Raw genomic sequence first — 23,209 nt, forward strand, 5'->3', positions numbered from 1 at the left:
ATATATATATAGATAGATAGATATAGATATATTACAATTCTTGACTTAAAGTTTGTTTTTTCTGAATAAGTATAGCTATTTCTGCTCTTTTTTGGTTTTTATTTGTGGGAATATGTTTTTCCATCTCTACACTTTCAGTATGTATGTGTCCTTATGGGCAAAGTGAGTTTGTCATAGACAGAATATTTGGATCATTTTTTAAAAATACATTCAGCCACTCTATTTTTTAATAGGATAATTTAATCAATTTACATTCAAGGTTATTATTGATAGATAACGGTTTATTACTGCCATTTTGATACTTGTTTTTGGGATTTTAAAATAGATCCTTTCTTCCTTTTCCCACCCTCTTACTGTATTTCTTTATAGCTAAATAAGTTTCACTAGCAGTATGTTTTGATTCTCTGCTATTTATTTTTAGTGTATCTATTATAGGTTTTTGCTTTATGGTTACCATGAGGCATACAGAAAATATCTTACAGTTATAACACGTTATTTTAAATTGCTAATGACTTAATCTTGATCACAGTGAAAGCAACAACAAAAATTCTCAACTTCAACATCATCCCCATCCCAACATTGTGACTTTTTGGTATTTCAATTTATGTCTTTTTCTATTTACTATTTACTAATTAACTGTTGTAATTATTTTTAATACTTTTGTCTTTTAGACTTCCTATTAAAAGTATAAATGGTTTACTTAGCCCAGTTACAGTTTTAGAATATTCTGGATTTCTTTTTTCTTATTTTACCAGTCAGTTTAATAACTGCAGATGTTTTTGTTATATGTTAGCATCCAGTTTCTTCTGTATTGAAAAACTCTCTTTTGGTATTTCGTGTAAGACAAGTCTGGTGTTGGTGAATTCCCTCAGCCTTTGTTTGTCTGGGAAAGTCTTTATCTCTCCTTTGAGTTTGAAAGATTGCTTTGCTGGGTATAATCTTACTGTTTGGCAGTATTTTTTCTTCAGCACTTTGAATATCACATTCCAGTCTCTCCTGACTTGCGGGATTTATGCTGAGAAGCCCCCTGAAAGTTATATTGGGACTCCATTGAATGTGATATTTTTATTTTCTCTTGCTGCTTTGATGATTCTTTGTCTTTAATTTTTGGTAACTTAATTATGATGTGCCTTGGGGAATCCCTCTTCGGGTTGAATTTGATTGGTTATGTCTGAGCGTCCTCTCTTTACCTGAAGGTTGTAATCTTTCTCCAGGTTTGGGAAATTTTCAGCCATTATTTCTTTAGATATGCTTTCTAGGCATTTTTCTTTCTTGTTTCCTTCAGAAATTCCTATTGCACAGATATTAATTCACTTGATTCTCTTGTCCCATAATTCTTGTAGGTTTTCTTCACTCACTTTTATTCTTTTTTTTTCTTTTTGCTCCACTGGTTGGATAATTTTATATGTTCCATCTTCAAGCTTGCTAATTCTTTCTTCTGTTTGAGAATATCTGTTGTTGAAGCTTTCTAATGATTTTTTTCAGGTCAGTTATTTTATTCTGTATTGCTAAGACTTCTATTTGGTTTTTGAAAAATTGTTTCTATTTCTTTGTCGTATTTCTCATTTTGTTTTTAGATTGTTTTCCAAATTTTATTTAGTTTTCTGTCAGGTATTTCTGTGATTCTCTAAACCTCTTTAAGAGAATTATTCTAAATACTCTGCCAGATCTCATAGATCTTCAAATCTTCTGGGTCAATTACTGGAGATTTGTTGGTTTCTTTTGGTGATGTCATATTTCCTGAGTTTTCGCAACTCTTATGTTGATTCCTGAGCATTTGATGAGACAGCCACTTCCAGTTTTTGCTGACATTCTTTGGTGGTTTTAGACTTTTACTACTTAGTATTGACTCTTAAACACTGCTCTACTGTTGCTTTCCATCCTGGGAAGAACTTATGTTGAGCACCAGGACTAAAACACTGCACTATAACTAACATGTTGCCCTGTTACTGTTTCCTCGTGTAGAAAAAACTTACAGTGAGCACCAAAACTTAAACTTAGACCCATAACTATATTGCATCCCTGCCATTGTTTTCTGGTCTTGGGAAGACTTAAGTTGGCACTAGGTATTAATTCTGATCTTTTAGTTTTTTTCCAGGCCAGGAAAATCCAGCTAGGGATTTAGGCATTCCCATGGATTGTGCCATCTGTGGCACATAAAAGAGACTGGCCAGTCTCTTTAATGTGGCACCCCCACTGACTGGAGCACAAAGTAGCTGCCAAAATCCATGCATCAGTTACTGTGATTAGTGCCCAGTTCATCACAGGTAGTTCAGCTTTCCTGGTACACCCAATTGCTCCCCTGGAAAGGAGTCAGGGTGGGCTTCCCATGAAGATTCCAAAAGGTGAGGAGATTGACCGTCCACCTCTCATTTCCTCCAATCACCATGGAAACCACAGGTCTAGAGAAATCCTCTTGAGTGGTTATGCCAGCTTGGGAGAGGGGCTGGCACAGTCTAAAATGACTATTCTAGTCACAACTTCTCTGATGCCCTAATGGGTTTCTCTACTTTCCCTCTGTGCTCTGGTGAATTTAGGGAGATATTCTTGTCTTTTAATAGTTTCAAGTTGAATTTCTGTGGGGGAAGTGATGATGCTTAGGATCTTCTATTCTGTCATCTTGCTGTCACTCATAATTATTTTAATATTCACTGTCCATTGAATGGATATTCCATGATTTTTTTTCATTTACCTACTGTTGTGCATTTTGGGCTATTTCTAGTTTTTAGCTATTACAAACAAAGCTGCTATTCATATTCATGTATGTACATGCACTTTCAGTTTTCTTGAATTATCTAGGAGTAGAATGGCTATATCATATGGTATTATATGTTTAAGCTTTTAAGAAACTATTGGACCATTTTGCAAAATTCTATATTTTACATGGCCACCAGCACTATATGAAAGTTCCAGTTGCTCCACATCCTTTTCAACACTTGACATGGTTTATCTTTTTAATTTTAGCCTTGGTAATAGGTATACAACAGTAGCTAATTTTGGTTTATTTTGAATTTCCCTAATGACTACTGATGTTGATCACCTATTCATGTGTTTATTTGCCATTAGTATTAGTTTTCTATGGCTGTAAAACATTACCAGGAACTTAGTTACATGAAACACGAGCCATTATTTTCTCACAATTCTGTAGCAAAGACGTTCTGGTGGGCTCAGCTAGTTTCTCTTTTTAGGGCTTTACAAAGCTGTATATCAGTGTATCAGCTGGGCTGGGTTCTTACCTGGAGATTCTGGAAAGAATCCACTTTCAAGCTCATTTACGTTTTTATGACAAGATCAGATCCACACAGACAATCTTTGTTATTTTAAGGTCAACTATCCCATATATCATCACATAGCCAACAATGTAATGCCATATTCATAGCTTTGATGATTAGACCAGATCGTATTTGAGGGGCCATTTTAGATACTCTACATGCCACACAACTCACATGTACTCTTATGTTAGAGTATTTGATCAAATAGCTTGCCAATTTTTAATTGGGCTGTAAGGGGTACAAACCTTTTACCAGGTATATACTTTTCGAATATTTTCTCTCAGTTTGTGGCAGTCTTTTTATTCTATTAATAGTGTCCTTTGAAGAGCAGAAATTTTAAATTTTGATGAAATCTTAATAAATTTTTTACTTAATGGAATTTGTCTTTAATGTTATATTCAAGATATCTTTGGCATATCTTAGGTCACAAAGATTCTCTCCTGTTTTAGAAGTTTTATAGTGTAAGTTTTACATTTCAGTATATTTGAATTTATCTTTGTAAATAATGCAAAGCGTAAATTGATGTTTATTTTGCATATGGATATTCAATGTTTTAGCACCATTTGTTGAAAATATTAATATTTCTTTATTCAATTGTTTTGTTACTTTGTTGAAAATCAGCTGTCCATATGAATATGGGCCTATTTTGTTACTATTTTCTGTTCCTTTGATCTGTTTATGTATCTTGATGCCATTACCTTGTGGTGTTAATATGAGACTTGAACTGTTAGTCTTTGAATATGTTTCTCCTGTTACAAAGTTGTTTTGCCTATTCTATTTTCCGTTTGGGTCCATATGAGATTTAGAATCAACTTGTCAAATTCTTTATATTAAAAAAGCCTGCTGGGATTTTGATTGAGATTATCTCAAACCTGTTGGTCAATTTGGGGTGAATTGATGTCTTAACTATATTGAATCTTTCAACATATGTATATGGTCTATCTATTCATTTATTAAGTATTTATTGAATTTAAGTAATTTATTTAATTTCTCTCACCAGAGTTGTATAGTTTCAGTCTACTGGTCTTGAGCAACAAATATGACATCTATTCCCAAGGATCTCTTATCTTTATATTATTGGAAATATTATTATTGATTTTTAATTTTGAATTCTTCTTGTCAGTGCACAAAAGTTCAATTTATTTTTCTATATTACCTTGTATCCTGAAACATGGCTAAACTCACTTATCATTTATGAAAGTTTTAATACATGCCAATAGATTTTCTACATAGTTACAATCATGTCATCTGCAAATGAGAATGTATATTCTTGTCCTATTTCTAATTAGGTGGGCAAAGCATTCAGTCTTACATCACTAAGTATGATGTCAGTTCCAGGTTTCTGTAGATGTCATTTATCAGGTTAAAGGAGTTGCCTTCTATTCCTTGTTTTTTGAGATCAGGATTGACTGCTGGAATTTTTTCAAATGTTTCTTCTCCACATATTTAGATGATCATAATTTTTTTTAGTTTGTTAATAGGATGAATTACATTGATTGATTATCATATATTGAACTAACTATTCCTGGGATAAACTCTAATTGATCATGATGTATTTTAATACACATATTGTAGTATTTGATCTGCTTTATTTGATCTGTCTAGATATTTTTTGCATCTATGTTCATGAGAGATATTGGGTTCCAGTTTTCTTTTATTTTGATGTCTTGTCTGGTTTTGTTTTTTGGGTAATGCTGGCCCATGGAATGAATAAGGAAGTATTCCCTCTTCTTCAATTTTCTGGATATGTTAGTGGAGAATTGGTGCTGTTTCTTCCTTAAATATTTAGTATACTTAACCAGTGAAGCCATCTGGGTCTGGAGTTTTCTTTGTGGAAAGATTTTTAAGAAACAAATTTATTTTATTTAATGGATACAGAGATATTCATATCTCCAATCCAATTTATTTCTTCTTTAGTGAATATTGTTAGTTTGCATATTTCATGGAATTGATAACTTTATAAGTTATCAAATATTTGGATAAAGAATGACTTGTAATTTTTTTATCCCTTTGATATCTGTGGGATCTGTAGTGATGTCTTCTCTTTGATTTCTGATATTGATAGTTGTGTTTTCTCTCCTATATTCTTGATCAATCTGATGAAAGGTTGTTATAAATTGTGGTCTTTGATCTGCTCTATTATTTATATACTCAAATAACTGGATTTTTGGTTACATTTATTTTTAGAGAAAAAATGTTTCTATGTTTTCTAGTCTATTGATTTCTGCTTTAATTCTTATTATTTACTTACTTTTATTTACTTTGGACTTGCTCTTTTTTTCTTACTTAAGGTGGAAACTGCTGTATTATTTTGATACTTGACTAGGTATTTCGTCCTATAAATTTCACCCTATGTTACTGTAGTGGCATTCCACAAATTTTAATTTGCTGTGTTTTCATTTTTATTTTATTCAAAATGTTTTCTAACTTTTTATATCTTTCTTAATACATAGGTTAATTACAGTGTGTTATTTATATTTCAAATATCTTAGAATTTTCCAGATCATTTTGTTTGTGATTTCTAGTATAAATCTCTTTGGTCAGAGAATGTACTTTGTGTGACTTGAATATTTAAAAGTTTATTGAGACATTCTATGTATTAAATTATGGTTTATCTTGATAAATATGCTATGTGCACTTGAAAAGAATGTGTATTCTGTTGTGATAGAGTGTCTTATAAATGTTAATTAGGTCAATTTTGATGATACTGTTCTATATTCTTTATCTTCTATAGCCTTATTGATTTTTGATTGGCTTATTCTATCAACTATTAAGAAAATCATATTGTGATTCTCTACTGTGTTTATAAATATGCCTGTTGATTGTTGTACTTCTGTTGTTGCTTCATGTGTTAAGAAGCTCTGTTATTAAATTCAAGAAGGTTTAGGATTGTTATATGCACCCAGTGAATTTTCCTTTTTGTTATTATGAAATCACATTCTTTTATTACTGGTAATATTCTTTTTTTCTGAAATCTACTTTTTATAATGTTAGTTTTGTTCAGTGTTAACATGGCATATATTTTTTCATTCTTTTATTATTGACATCTTTATAAAGTAGATTTCCTAGAGATAACACATAGTTGGTGGTATGGTTTGGACATTTGTCCTTTCCAAATATCCTGTTGAAATGTGAGGTGTTTGGGTCATGGGAGTGGGTCTTTTGTGAGTTTCATGGTGCCTTCCTTGTGTTAATAAGTGAGTTCTTGCTCTGAGTTCACATGCAATATGGTTGTTTTTAAAAGTGTGGTTCCCCCTCTTTCTCACTCCCTCTCTTGCCATCTGACATGCCTGATACTGCTTTGCCTTCTGCCATGAGTTAAAGCTTCCAGAAGCCAAACAGATGCCAGCACCATGCTTCCTATACAGCCTACAGAACCATTAACCAGTTAAACCTCTTTTCTTTATAAATTACCCAGTCTTCAGTGTGTGTTGCTAGCAATGCAAGAATGGACTAATACAGTTAGATCTTGTTTTTTTTAATCAATTTGACATTCTGTTCCATACAGTGGGTTAAATTACATTTAATGTGATTATTAATATTGCTAAAACTGTTTAAATTTATCATTTTGCTATTCATTTTCTTTTTGTCTCTCTTTCTTGTGTTCTTATCGTTTTATTCCTCTGCTATATTTTGGATAGATTATATTTTAAAAATTCTACTTATCTCCTATATTGGCTTTTTGCTATATCTATTTGTTTTGTTATTTGGGGTATTTCTGTACAGTTTATAATACATCACTTATCACACTCTACCCTCTTGTGATGTTATATCAACTCACATAGAATATAAAAAACATTATAATAGTATACTTATCAACTCCAAGCACTATGCTATTATCATCATATATTTGATGTTATATATATTATAAACCTCGTATTACATCATCCGTTTATGTAAGCAGTTAATTATATTACAAAGATACTTTTAAATAAAATAACTTGTGTATTTTGCCATGTATTTACTACGTAAAATTATCTTTATTTGTTTGGCAGATCCATATTTCCATCTGCTATCATTTTTCTTCTGCTTGAGGCCTCCTTTTATGTTTTTATTGTGTTGACTATTTTCTGCTGATGAATGCTTTTAGCTTTTTTATGTCAGACAAAAAGCACTTATGTCCCTTTTACTTTTAATAGACATTTTCAATAGGTGTAGACTTTCAGTATGACATATTTCTTCTTTTCTTTCAGTTCTTTAAAGATGTTGCCCATTATCTTTTCATTTACATTGTGTTTTAATGAGAACTTTGCTGTTCTTTTCTTTTTTCCTCTGCATATAATGTTTATTTTTTCCTTTAACTGCTTTTAAAATTTTTTTACCACTGTTTTTAAGTTACTTCCTTGTATTGTAACTTGGCATGGTTTTTTTCAGTCTTTCTCGAGTTTGAGTTTTATTGAAATTCTTAACTCTGTAGGTTTATAGTTTTCATAAATTTTTAATGACCATTATTTCTTCAAGTAGTATTTTCTGTCTTTAATCCCTTCTTGGTGACAACAATTACATTTATATTTGACTACTTTAAGTTATGTCAGAATGTACTGATGCTCTGCTTATTTCCAATTTTTTTATTTTGAATTATTTTTTATCTTCTAAAATTCATTAATCACCTACAATGTCTAATCCACCATTAATACTCTTGTTGTGTGTTTTCTTTCCTCTCATTTTAGTTTTTATTTAAGGTATTTGAATCTTTTTTTATCTTCCTTGTCTCTACTTAACATTTTGAAAATATGGAATTCAGATATTAGTTTGGTGCAAAAGTAATTGCTGTTTTTGCCACAACAAATACTTTTTGCACCAACCGAATATAATAACTATATTAGTATGATTGTTAGTTAATTCTAACACCTGTGTCAGTTATGTGTTTAAGTCAATCAATTGTTTCTGTTGTTGTTGTTTCTCTCCATTAGTCATATGTTCTTATTTTTTTATGCCTGGTAATTTTTTATTTTATGACAGACATTATGATTTTACCTTACTGGATGCTGGATATTTTTGTAGCCCTATAAATATTCTTGAGTTTTGTGCTAGGGTACGTTTAGTTGCTTAGAAACAGTCTGATTCTTTCATATCTTGGTTTTAAGATTTGTTACGTGGAACCAGAGCCATGTTTAATGTAGGGCCAATCATTCTCTGAGTGAGGCAAGATACTTCTGCCTCTCTAGGTGAAGCAAGATACTTTTCCCAGTATCCTATGGGGCTGGGCACAGTAATACTAGTTCTGGTTCAGCGTGAGTCCTCAGATTCTCTCAGGTACTTTTTTTCCCCGGCTTTGGGTAGCTTCCTCATGCACATGTGCTAACAAATACTTTGCTAAATATTCGTAGGTGACTCTATTAAGATCTCAGGAGTTTTATCTGTGAAACTCTCTCTTTTTTAGGATCCTGTCCTTGAAAGTATACCTTGCTGTCCCCCAAACACTCATCTCCTTCTGTATGCAAGAAATATGCTGGGATTTGCCTGTGTTACCTTGCAATCTGAAAACTCTCTCAGGGCCATATGTTGTGGTCGTTAAAGGGCTCACATCATTTGTTTCTCATCTTTCAGGGACCAATGACCCGCATCATTTCATGACCATGTCTTTAAAATCAATTTCATGTATTTTGTCCAGATTTTGTGTTGTCTTAGGTGACAAAAATCCAGTCCTTGTGACTCTAAGATGGAAGTGATATTCCTCAGGCTTATTGTTTAAATTTTATATTTGTTTTTAAATATTAAGATGATAGATTTTAAAGTCGTTTTTACAAGCATGTATTCACAAATAATATATCACAGGTTTGGATAGAATTTTTTTATTAAATATGGAATCTCAAATTGAATATAATTGACATTGTATATTATATTTTTAAAAATTATTTTTTTCTTTATTAGAAACATCTCCATATAAGAATTTTCCTCAGAAGAGTGCAACTTTCAGATCTGATGAAAATTACCTTCAATTTTTAAAATTATTATCATTATTATGCTCATTTTTAAGTTGTATTTCAACTTCAGTGTTCCTCAAGCTTTACATTTGGAAACACCAGTAAATATTAAATAATATATATCTAAGAATAAAATGTTTATCTCTATATAATGAGCAAAGTCAACACTGACTAGAAAACAAAGTTCAAACTCCTCAGCAAGGCCCTCAGTCAGGAACTTCCTGCCTACCTTTTGTTTTTTTTTAACCTTATTTCCTCTTCCCTGCATTATACTATAAGCTTGCATAGTACTGAACAGCTTATAGATCTCTGCACCTATTCTGCTGTTTCTTGCCTCTGAACTGTCTCGTATGCTGTTCTTTTCTCCTAGTGATGCCCTTTCTTCCTTTTTTAACTTGGAAAATTTGTAGTTATCCTTCGAGGCATGTCAGATGCTATTTTCCGTAAGAAGTTTCTCTGAATTGCCTCACACTGGGCACAATGTCCCCCTCTTTATCACCTGGGAAAGCATCCATCTCTGCACACATCATTTCATATTGAAATTATCTGTCTACCTGTTTGCCTTCCTAAAAAATTCAGAAAGATTTAGGAACTGGCAATACGGGGAAATAAATGTTACCAAATTTAAGAAAATTCAAACCTGAAATAACAGGAAAATCAGAGTTACTCACAAAGTTAATTTGTTTACATAGCAATATGCCCAGATACTAGTAAATTATTTAATTCATTAAAATTGCAAATTGTATTAAAACATTCAAAAGTAATATATTATAAAAGTATAGGGTTAAAGGCCCTTCCACATACAGTGAGTTTAAATATTGAAATATTTAAATATTGAAAAATCATCTTATTCTCAGAATTAATGAGACCGGAATAATGCACTTTGAATACTTAAAAGATCCCAACTATACTAGAGCAGTGGGTATATTCTGCCAGTGGACTTCAAAGGCAACGGTGCTGAGAGTTTCAAAAGCAGGAGTTTACGTGGTCATTTGAAGTCCACAGTATACTTCACCTAGAGCTGCATTTCAGCTTTGTTTATATTGTGTGTATAACACTGTAGGTGATCTATTGGGCTAGTAGGAGACACCTCTAATGAGAGTCTTTTTAAGTAATCTTCAATATAGATGGACACATATTTGATGCGTTACAAGGAAAGTAGGCCAATTAGAGATAAAGCTTAATAGCTTCAAGGAGGGAGCTGGAAGATTTACTTACACTTGACAGTGAAGAAGCAAAACATAATCTTAGTAAAGCCCTTATATTTAAGAAATGATATCTTCCTTTAAATAAATAGATTTTCAGATTTTTAGCTTCCTGAATGAAGTAATTTTATGCTGGTTTTGATGGACAAAATCACCAATTTATTTTTATCTGTAGGCTTGTGTCAATACTCTATACAACAGAGATATTGTAATATGCTAATTTATGCCTTGATTTTTCAATTAATACTATGAAAAAAGCTTCATTTTTCCCTGAAAACTATTCTAGTCATCCTTACTCCTTTATAATACATTCTTACATGCTACTTAGGAATCCTCTTTAACAATGTATAAATTTTCAGACTTTCTTTTCTAGGATGATAGTAGATTAATATTTTAAAAGAATAACAATACCTATAAATGTGTGTATAAAGAAAAAAGCTGGCTAGGCACTGTGGCTCGTGCCTATAATCCCAGCACTTTGGGAGGCTGAGGCAGGTGGATTATCTGAGGTCAGGAATTTGAGGCCAGCCTGGCCAACATGATGAAACTCCACCTGTACTAAAAATACAAAAATTAGCTGGGCATGGTGGCAGGTGCCTGTAGTCCCAGATGCTCAGGAGGCTGAAGGAGGAGAATCGCTTGAACCCGGGAGGCGGAGGTTGCAGTGAGCTGAGATCGCACCATTGCACTCCAGCCTGGGTGACAAGAGTGAAACTCCGTCAAAAAATAAAAATAAAAATAAAAATAAAAGAAAGAAAGCAAGCTGGGCAGGATCACACATGCTTGTAGTCCTAAATACTTGGAAGGCCAAGGTGGAAGGATCATTTGTGCCCAGGAGTTAGAGGCCAGCCTGACAAAATAGTAAGGCCATAAAAAAAGAAGAGAATACAAATACTTATAAATATGTATATAAAGAATAAAAGCCAGACATGTTGGCACTCCCTGCTACTTGGGAGGTTGAGGTAGGAGCATCATTTGTGCTCAGGACTTAGAGGCCAGCCTGGGCAACATAGTGAGACCCTGCTTCTTAAAAAACAAACAAACAAACAAACAAAAAAAGAATAAGGATCTTCAGGATCCAGAAGTGAAGAGAAAAATTGATGATCAGAGTGCTATGGCTCTGAGGGAAGTCCTATCAGTCTTAAAAAATTGGAATCTTTTGTTTCAATATATACAGTACATGGTCTTGTGCCCAAATGAGGAAAGGAAGTATTCCAATCTTAGGTGAAAATACGGCTTTCCAAGAGTTTAATTGTCTTTAAAGAGATGAATGAGAAAATCCACCTAAGCACAGAAAGATTATAAGAAAGCTAACTTTTCACTGAGACTTGAGTAGGTTTGTGACTTGCTTTTACATTATCTATGGGTTCCTGGATGGCTTATTCATTTGGGGTTTCTGACAGAAGAAAACTCAATGTTATATTGAAAGAACATCTTCTCAACACAGGATTACCCTGGAGGAAAAGGATAGGAGGAGAAGAAAACCCTGATAAGGATAAGCTCATAATTAAAGAATATACAAAATATTGGCAAAAGTCACAACAAGCAAGAGAATCGAAAGTTGAAAATTTAAGATAATAGAAGAATAATCTGTAATATAGCATACAAGTGCTTATAATGATTAAAGATACGAAAGAGGAAATCCAAATCCTAACAGTATAATTGCACTCTTTATTTGAGACAATGCTACAGTATCGAAAAACCAAATCTCAGTGACTTAACACTACAAAGAATATTTCTTTCATACCAGAGTGTGACCAGGTGTGTAGTGCTGGCTTTGCATGTGCTGAATAAGAGTTCCTGACTCCTTTCATTTTGTGGTATAACCATTTTGTAAGGTGTCCTTATAGGACTCAGACAGACATTGAGCAGGAAGAGAGAGAGAAGTATCTCACAGAATGTTTATGAACCCGAAGCTGGAATACAACATAACATAGTGCTAGCCAAACTGCAAAAGAAATGGAAACAGGATCGGTAGGCTTCTGCTCAATCTCTACCTACATATAAAAATTTGACAGAGTTTCAATTAGGTATATCAGAAATGTAAATTACAGGCATTCATTGTTTCATTTCATATAAATAGATGATAGAGATAGATTTATTACTTTGTCCAGGTACCATCCCAGTTACTGGAGATGGAGGAAATGAACAAAAAATCCAATGTTCCTACCACAGTGGAGTTTACAAAATCCTACCTGTGGAGGCACACAGTCAGCACATAAATAAAGGATTAGTGAGAGTACTGAGTAGTATAAAAATGAAGCAATATGAAATGATGCAGAGAAGCACCTTGCTATAATAGGGTGTTCATGAAAGTCCTCCAGCCCTCACCTCCAGGAGGTGATATTTGAGAGATGTTTCCTTGTTTCTAAATTCAACATTTAGTTGTTTTCACTTTATCATTCTTGATCTGCTAGCTGCATTTAGGTCTCCTGCTCATCTCCTCATTAAAAAAAAAAAAAAACAAAAAAAACCTTCACTTGGTTTCCAAGGTATCGCCTTCCAGTGTGTTTTTCCTACCTCAGTGTATTAGTTTCTTATGGCTGCTAGAATAAAATATCACAAACTTAATGGCTTCAAATCACATACATTCATTGACAAATTCATTTGGAATTCTCGAGGTCACAAGTCCAAAATGGGTCTCACTGAGCTACCAACAAGGTTTCAGCAGGGCTGCCTTCCTTTCTGTAGGCTCTAGGAGAAAATCCACTTCCTTGCCTTTCCAGCTTCTGGAACTTGACCACATTCCTCGGCTTGTGGCCACTTTTGTCTATCTTCCAAACCCAGCAATTTTCCCTTTTTGCTTTCTTCAGCAGCCACTTTTCCCTCTAACCTCCTCCGACTCCTTCTTCCACTTTTGAGCACTCTTGGAGTTACTCTGAGATCCCCAGATAATCCAGGATAATCTCCCCATCTCAAGATACTTAATCACATCTACAAGCTCCCTTTTTCAATGGAGGGTAACAGATCCACAGTTTCCAGGGACTAAGATGTGTATGTATTTGAAGTAGGGGTTGGTGGTTATTCTGTCTACCACATTCAGTGACTGCTTTCTTTTCTCAGTGTTCACAGTTATTTCCTCCTTATCTCTCTGACCCTTACATATAGAGTACCAGGGCAGAAATACAGCTCTGTTGATTACTAGAGATTGAAATATTTTTATATTTCTCAGTAGGTAGTCTTAACAATTACCAATAACTCTTGAGTTCCAGACATTTCTGCCTTTTGCCCTAGGTCCCTGACTTTCCCTGAGGACTTTAAATATTTGTTCCTGCTACATAAAATACGGAATAAATGTCTGGCTTAGTTGGAGGCTTTGAAGACACTGACCCAGCATTGTGGTCAGGGTCCATTTAGAATTGTTCTTGCTCAATCTATACCAGCTGTTAGCATCCCTGGGTGTGCCCCTTCCTTAAGTAGTTATTTTCTTGATGATTTCATCCAGTCTTAAGACTTTAAATACCACCTAGATGCTGATGACTCTCAAAGTTTCACTTGTTGTCCAATTTTTTCTCCCAAACTTCAGAATCTGATGTCTAATTACCTACTCAGTATCCTCAAGGCTGTATTTTTGGCATCTAAAGCACAATCTTATTTATCAGCGCACTGCTGCTTTATGCCCCCTGCCTCAATTTTTCTCCGTACCACGGTCTTCTGTCGATAAGGAAATATCAACTCTATCTGCTTTCTCTATCTTAAAGTATATGCAGAATCTATTTCTTGCCTTCTCTTCAGTCACCAAGCCAGTCCAAACCCCCATTAGTTCTCTCCTCTTAATTCAAAGCATTTTACATTGTCTCCCTTCTTCCTTTGGTCTTTTTCAACATAGCAGCAAGAATTATCATCAAATTCTAATAATATCATTTTGGACCCCTGCTCAGAACCCTCCTTTGGCTTCTTATCTCACTCAGAGTAAAGACCCTCCCCCTGCCTTAGATCACCTTGACAATCTTTGCATCTAGTACCTCTCTGCAATCAACTTCCATTGCTTTTCCTCCCACTCACACAGCTTAAGGCACACTGACCTCTGTATTATTCTTAAACTAAGTCAGGATGTCCTCTGCATCTGGAATACTCTTCCTTCCTGTATCTGGAGCATTCTTTGATGGATAGTCACATAGCTTGATCCCTCACTTTCTTTTATTATTTAAATATTGCCTTACTATAGATATTTTCCTTAACCATTGTTTTAAAAATTGAGTACCTTAACTCATCAGTTCCCCTGTACTGTGTTATATTTCCCTTTAGGAGTTTCATGTTTGAATACAATCACACACCTCATAACAACACTTTGGCCACTGATGAGCCTCATATATGAGAGTGGTCATCTAGTAAACTAAGGCTAATTTATTATTGAAGAAAGAAATTGTTTTTTACAAATTTAATGTAGCCTAAGTGTACAATATTTATAAGGTCTTCAGTAGTGTACAGTAATCTCCCAGGCCTTCACAGTCACTCTCAAATCACTGACTCATTAAAAGCAACTTCCTGCAAGCTCCACTCATGGTAAGTGTGCTATACAGGTGTACCATTCTGTTTTAACTTTTATACCGTGTTTTTACTGTATTTTTCTATGTTTAGATGTGTTTGGATACACAGGTGCTTACCATTGTGTTACAGTTGCCTGCAATATTCAGGACAGTAACAGCTGTACAGGTTTATAGCCTAGGAGCAATAGACTGTACCATCTAGCCTAGCTGTGTTGCAGGCTATACCATTTGTGTAGTGTGCTTACTAGGTTTGTGTAAGCACACTCTGTTGTTTGAGGGACAACAAACTTGCCTAGCAACGGATATCTTAGAATGTATCCTTGTTGATAAGCAGTGTGTTACTGTATACTGTATATTTTACTTAATTTATGATATTTAATTTGTATCCAGAACCCACTAGGATATGAGCTGTATAGAGATTTTAGTCTGTTTTTTTTAACTGCTTGTCCCACCCACTGTCTATAGGCAGGGTTTTAGCCTCACAAGGCGTTAAAAACTTGAACATTAAATAATATACCTATTTTACACTTTAAAAATCATGAAAATGAACAAAAAGTAGCATTCAAGGTTTAGCAATATGGGAATTGTAATACACATATATTTAAAGTAGGAAACAAGCCCAACTTTTCAGTAGAAAAATAGTCAAAATCTATCACAAACCTTAAATATGCATACACTTTGGTATAGGAAGGCTCCTCATTAAAATCTATCGTAACAAAATAATGTGAATGTACACAAAGATTTTGCAATAAGAACAACCACCATAGTCTTGTTTATGAAAGTGAAAAATTAAAAAATTTTAAAAATCGACCACCCCCCCAAATTTCCAAATATAGAAGCTTAGTTAAATGAAATAAGGTATATTTATACAAGACGATCTTATACAATCCTTAAATTAGTATTTAGATAAATATTTAGAGCATGAGAAATATTAACAATATGCTGATGAAGTGGTAAAAAGCAATTTATACAAAGTATATGCAAAATGACTTAATTTTCAAAAAAATATATGTAGACTGATAGATATATAGATGGGATTCTATATATCAGTCTGAGAATACAGCTATTTATCAACTATATGTTGCTTGTGTTCATGATATTTGATAATACGGTATATCTTTTTTTAAAATTCTTGCATCAGTAAGTAGGGACTAAGGCTCCACTTTAGCTTATGAAATAAACTCTTTGGGGTTATTTTAGTCTTTAGAAACTTAACATGTAGAAGTTGCCTAGCCACAAGTATGATTGTATTAAAAATGTAGTTAGTATGACTCAGCTGAGAAGACAAATTTATGTTATGCAGTTAATCCAATATTTGATCTCAGAGATTTTAATTAAACCTAACCCACCCACTCTCTGTCTCTGTCTAGTTTCTATCCTTTTGGCAGTAATGTACAATCTGGTTCTACTGAACAAAAGAAGGGGAAATTCCCACTCTGGCCAGAGTGGAGTGAAGCTGACATAAATTCAGAAAAGTGGGATGCAGGCAAAGGTGCAAAAGAAAAGGACAAAACAGGAAAAAGCCCTGTATTTGTAAGTAGATGTAAATGTGACTAGGTTTCATTTTGGTTTTTAATTTTATAATGGAATGAGATTTGTAAACATAAAAAGGTATTCATTCTTCTCCATAATGTGCATTCAAAAGGGAAATTTTTTATTTTTCTATCAGCCCCACCTCCCAACACTCCCACTTTGTCTTTCCAAGCCTTAGTCCTGAGCTTTGGTGAATCATATTTGGGTAAATTGGAAGAAAGAGATATGACCAAAGAATCATAATGATATAAAGGAAAAATTAAGAGATAGGGCAGGTTAGCCAGTCGACATTGGACAGAGTTTGGAAACAGGCATTTATAAAGAGTGGTTAAGAAAATGAAAATCCACAGTGGACTTGGAAGCTGTGACCGGGAGATAATAGGAAAGATAATTTTTTAAAAGAAATGTTAACTGTGAGATGAAAACTGGATTCCTCCTACTATCTCCTCAAGATATGTGAATAAAGATCCTCACTGCTCTTCGTTTACTTTTTGTCACATAAACATGGCATGTCCCTGAGATTGGTGCCAAAATGTAGAATTTCTGCATTTTCCAATTATATTACTTTATGTTATTTTGCCTATTTAAAAATGTTTATTTCTAAAGACTTCAAAGTTGAGGCTATGGGTCTGACTTTCATTTAAAATATGACCTATTTATTGGGTGCAACAATTCATTTAAAAATATTTATAGAAAACAATATAATTTTCAAGACATAAACATAAGTGCCAGAAGGGTTTAGTTGAACTTTACATAAAGCATTCTGAAATAGTAAATCTTAGCATGTACGTTTTGTTCACAAAAGATTGTATCACAAATTGCATGATTCATATTGGTCAATTTGTTAACAAAAGGTACGCAATAAAGGTATTGCTGACTCTGTTAGCACCTAAACAAGTTCCAAATTAGCAACATGTAAGGGAACAAATTCTTTGTACCACATCTAAAATGATTATGGAACTTCTAGATGCAGAGGGCTTTGAATTCTCTGGGTTCAAATGAAAATTGGCATATTCTATGTATTTTTTTCAGTGATTCAAAACTTATGGAGAGAGAGAAAGAGAGAGAGTGTGAGTGTGTGGGTGTGGGTGGGTGTGGGTGTGTGTGGGTGTGGTAAAATCTAGGATAGAACCTTACTTTCCACTTCCAGTCTGTCACAATCTCATCCATAACTCTTGAAGTAGCAGCTCCTTCACTGGAGTGAGTGGTGGACAGTGTCCAAGCCTTGTGATCGCATCTGCATGAAATGGTTGCATGGTAGCTCTTAGCGCTGATTTGCAGCATCCATCTTTTATTAAGATTAATTTCCTTAAGCATCCAAATATAACAAGTATCCTGGGAGTTTTGCAGAAGGCCGCTTCCCTAGACATGAGGCTAGTCATCAGGAAATCAGCCTCAGATGAATTCACCCTTTCCTCTAAGTCCAGAGAAAGGTCTCACTTCTTTAGCTAAGTGATGAGAACTAAAGGATGTGACGGGTGAATCAAATTGTGAATATATTATGCAGTACTGTAAGGTTATTATAAGGGACACTGATAAGAAAAATAATGTGGAAAGATTACCCTTAACTTCTTAATGAGGGAGGCCCAAATCCTGGGGAAAAGGGAACCACAACAAGGTCAGTTCCACATTCACCTTGTTCTTTGTTTATTTATTTTTTCCTCTCTCAAGTACATTTATTAATTCAAGGCATGAAGATTAGGGATCAAGCACAAAGTAGTGTCCTGGGACCTGTGTCAGTTTCTTGAGCTGGAGAGACAGAGGATATTGCCTAGGGCTGCTAAAGCAGTCAAAACTTGAACCAAAACCCCAGGGCTAATGGCAGAGAAGCAATCTGAAAATTTTGCATATAATTTTATTTTAAGATATTTACTCAACTCCTAAACTATGTATGAAGGATAAGCTACGGAGCAAATGAATAAACAGCAGCAGCTTGAAGGCAAAATAAAAAACGATTTAATGGTACTTTGGAGAGAAATTTAGGAACATCAAGGTAAAGGGACCCCAATAAACACTCCAGCTTTTTTAGACAGTGCACCAGACCAGCTATAGCATTCTGTATAAAGTAAGGGCAAACCAAAGTTACACCAGCCCTACCAAATCCTGAAACCCAGTGTTGACTGAGTCAGGTACATCTTGTACTCTGCCTGCCAAAAGGAAATAAATTCTCCTTTCTGGAATAAGACATCATTATCTAGAGCCCATATAATTTTTATACTCAGTGTATATCATTCATTAAAAATTATTAAGCATGTGAATCCTACCAGATGTACAAAGACAAGCTGCTACCATTCTTACTGAAACTATTCCAAAAAATTGAGAAGGAGACACTCCTCCCCAACTCATTCCATGAGAACATCATCATCCTGATAGCAAAGCATGACAGAGTCACAACAACAAAAAAATCTTCAGGCCACTATCATCGATGAACATCAATGCAAAAATCCTCAACAAAATACTTGCCAACCAAATCCAGCAGCACATCAAAAAGCTAATCCACCATGATCAAGTAGGCTTCACTCGCAGGATGCAAGTTTGGTTCAACAGACACAAATCAATAAATGTGATTCATCACATAAACACAACTAAAGACAAAAACCACATGATTATCTCAATAGATGCAGAAAGGACTTTTGATAAAATTCAATACCCCTTGATGTTAACCCTTTTCCCATTACAAAAAAGTGCAGCTCGCTTCCAGCATTCATTTAATTTTACATAAACATACTCTTTGAAGCTGATGCAAATCTGACTGATTTTCAATGTGAAAATAAAACATAAAAAGCTGTTCTTATAGCAAAGACTTGGAACCAACCCAAATGTCCAACAATGATAGACTGGATTAAGAAAATGTGGCACATATACCCCATGGAATACTATGCAGCCATAAAAAATGATGAGTTCATGTCCTTTGTAGGGACATGGATGAAGCTGGAAACCATCATTCTCAGCAAACTATCGCAAGGACAAAAAACCAAACACCACATGTTCTCACTCATAGGTGGGAAATGAACAATGAGAACACATGGACACAGGAAAGGGAACATCACACACTGGGGCCTGTTGTGGGGTGGGGGGGGGGGGGAGGGATAGCATTTGGAGATATACCTAATGTTAAATGATGAGTTACTGGGTGCAGCACACCAACAAGGCACATGTATACATATGTAACTAACCTGCACATTGTGCACATGTACCCTAAAACTTAAAGTATAATAAAAAAAAAACTGTTCTTAGAGTTATTTCTAAACAGAACTTGTCTATAATCTTAATGTAACAGAAATGTATGTGATGATCAGTGTTTAATAATTTTCATCATGTGATAAGTTTCAAAGCACAGCACAACACAAAGTGGAGCATCACCTTCTGCAAAAAAAAAAAAAAAAATGCATTTCTCTCCAGATCGTCTTGCCATCCTTGCTGTTGTGCAAGCCTCAAACTTTGCAGTGACTACTTGGATTTCATTTCATTTCCCTGATATTGGTAATAGGCTTTTGGGCAAAATGTCTTCCAGACAGATGAAGAGGTGTGGCATCACCAGAACATGGGTGACCTTGAAGATGTTGCTGCCCTGGCTTGTGATGCTTTTCCAGCATTTTTTTAATCAACGGGAATCTGAGGTTTACATGGCTAATCATGTGCTCAGGATTGTCCTTCTTGAACAGGATGTAGGAATTCAGTGCTTTGATATTTAGAGGTGGCGAAAGAATTTCTTATACCAAGCATGTTTTATCTTGGGATAAACACTGCAACTGCAAGCACTGCTGGTGAGTATTCTTGGGTGCAAATGGGAAATGGTTAAAAACTCTCCACAAACTAGGTATGAAGGAACATACCTCAAAATAAAAAGAGCCATCTATGAAAAACCCACAGCGAACATTATACTGAATGGCAAGACCTGGAAGCATTCCTCTTGAAAACTGGCACATTACAAAGATGCTTTCTCTCACCACTCCTATTCAACACAGTATTGGAAGTCAGCCAGAGAAATCAGGTAAGAAAAAGGAATAAAGGGCACCCAAATAGGAAGAAAGGAAGTCAAACTATCCCTGTTTGCAGATGACATGATTCTATATCTAGAAAACCCCATAGTCTCAGACCAAAAGCTTTTTCAGATGGTAAACAACTGCAGCAAAGTTTCAGGATGCAAAATCAGTATACAGTGCTCACTTCAGCAGTGCATATACTAAAATTGGAATGATACAGAAAAGATTAGCATGGCCCCTGCACAAGCATGCCTCCTGCACAAGCATGGCACACAAATTCGTGAAGAGGTCCGTAATTTTAATTAAAAATCTAACTTCGCAATTGAAATAATTAGAGAAGCTAGAACAAATTAATCCCAATGCTAGCAGAAGACGAGAAATAATGAAAATTAGAGCTGAACTGAAGGAAATTGACACATGAAAAACAATTTCAAAGATCAACAAATCCAGGAGTTGTTTTTTGAAAAAATTAATAAAATAGGCCACTAGCTAGGCTAATAACAAAGAAAAGAAAGAATATCCAAATAAACACTATTAGAAATGATGAAGGGAATGTTACTATTGACCCCACAGAAATAAAAGCAGCTATCAGAAACTACTACAAACTCCTCTATGCACACAAACTACAAAACCTAGAAGAGATGGATAAATTCCTGGACACATACACCCTCCTAAGACTGAGCCAGGAAGAAACTGTTTTCCTGAACAGACCAATAACAAGCTCTGAAATGGAATCAGTAATAAAGGGCCTACCAACCAAACAAAAGCTCGGGACCTGATGGATTAACAGCTGAATTCTACCAGATGTAGAAAGACGAGCTGGTACCATTTCTACTGAAACTCTTCTAAAAAGTTGAGAAGGAGGGACTCCTCCCCAAGTGATTCTATGAAGCCACCAACATCTTGATAACAAAACCTGGCAGAGACACAGCAAAAAATGAAAACTTCATCCCAATATTCTTGATGAACATCGATGCAAAATTCCTCAACAAGATACTTGCAAATTGAATCCAGCAGCACATCAAAAAGCTAATCCAACATGATCAAGTTGGCTTCATCCCCAGGATGCAAGGTTGGCTCAACATATGCAAATCAATAAATGTGATTCATCACATAAACAAAACTAAAGACAAAAACCACATGAATATCTATATAAATGCAGAAGAGGCTTTTGATAAAATTTGACACCCCTTCATGTAAAAACCTCTTAATAAACTAGGTATTGAAGGATCATACCTCAAAATAATAAGAACCATCTATGATAAACTCATAGCCAACGTTATACTGAATGGGCAAAAGCCAGAAGCATTCCCCTTTGAAAACCACCATAAGACAAGGATGCCCTCTCTCACCACTTCTATTTAACATAGTATTGGAAGTCCTAGCCAGAGCAATCAGGCTAGACAAAGAAATAAAGCACATCCAAATAGGAAGAGAAGAAATCAAACATCTCTGTTTGAAGACGACATAATTCTATATCTAGAAAACCCCACAGTCTTGTCCCAAAAGCTCCTGCAGCTGATAAACAACTTCAGCAAACTTGCAGGATACAAATTCAATGTATAAAAACCACTAGTATTCCTATACGCCAACAATAGCCAAAATGAGAGCCAAATCAGAAAGGCAATCCATTCACAATTGCCACAAAAGGAAGAAAATACCTAGGAATTCAGCCAACCAGGGAAGTGAAACATCATCTATACAAGCAGAACTACAAAACTGCTCAAACAGAAACAAATGGGAAAACATTCCATGCTCATAGATAGGAAGAATCACTATCATTGAAAAGGCTATACTGCCCAAAGCAATGTACAGATTCAATGCTATTCTTATCAAACTACCAATGACATTCTTCACAGAACTAGAAAAAACTATTTTAAACTTCATGTGGAACCAAAAAAGAACCTGAATAGCCAAGGCAATCCCACGGGAAAAAAAAAAAAGCTGGAGGAATCACGCGACCTGACTTCAAACTGTACTATTGTACAAGGCTATAGTAACCAAAGCAGCATGGTACTGATATGAAAACAGGCACATAGACGAATGAGGCAGAGTAGAGAGCCCATAAGTAAGACCACACATCTACGGCCATCTGATCTTTGACAAAGCTGACAAAAACAAGCAATGGGGAAAAGACTCCCCATTCAATAAATGGTGCTGAGATAGCTGACTAGCCATATGCAGAAGATTGAAGCTAGACCCTGTTCTTACACCATACACAAAAATCAACTCAAGATGGAATAAAGACTTAAATGTAACACCCAAAACTATAAAAACCCTGAAAAACAACCTAGGCAATACCATCCTGGACATAGAAATGGGCAAAGATTTCATGACGAAGCCACCAAAAGCAATTGCAACAAAAGCAAAAATTGACAAGTGGATCTAATTAAACTTAAGAGCTTCTGCACAGCAAAAGAAACTATCAACAGAGTAAACAGACAAACTACAGAATGGGAGAAAATATTTGCAAACTGTACATCTGACCAAGGTCTAATATCCAGTATTTATAAGGAACTTAAACACATTTACAAGAGAAAAACAAACAACCACATTTAAAAGTGGGCAAATGACATAAACAGACATGAACTTCTCAAAAGAAGTCATATATGCAGCCAACAAGCATATGAAAAAAAGCTCAATATTACTTATTATTAGAAATACCATTTCACACCTATCAGAATGGGTATTATTAAAAAGCCAAAAAAGAACAGATGCTGGTGAGGTTGCAGAGAAAAAGGAATGCTTATACACTGTTGGTGGGAGTGTAAATTAGTTCAACCATTGTGGAAAGCA

General features: G+C 34.8%; 1 protein-coding gene and 1 pseudogene across 1 annotated transcript in view; both read left to right on the top strand.

The window, feature by feature from the left end:
• ADGB (androglobin) overlaps positions 1–23,209 on the top strand; it is a 216,491-nt gene that overhangs the window by 20,139 nt on the left and 173,143 nt on the right. Inside the window, exon 2 of the mRNA NM_024694.4 lies at positions 16,265–16,427. Within this exon, the coding sequence (NP_078970.3) occupies positions 16,265–16,427 (163 nt within the window). The remainder of the gene's footprint in view (positions 1–16,264; positions 16,428–23,209) is intronic.
• Positions 20,590–20,713, top strand: LOC124901517 (uncharacterized; annotated as a pseudogene).

The sequence above is a fragment of the Homo sapiens genome, chromosome 6 (genome assembly GCF_000001405.40).
Source record: "Homo sapiens chromosome 6, GRCh38.p14 Primary Assembly".
NCBI classification, from domain to species: Eukaryota; Metazoa; Chordata; class Mammalia; order Primates; family Hominidae; genus Homo; species Homo sapiens.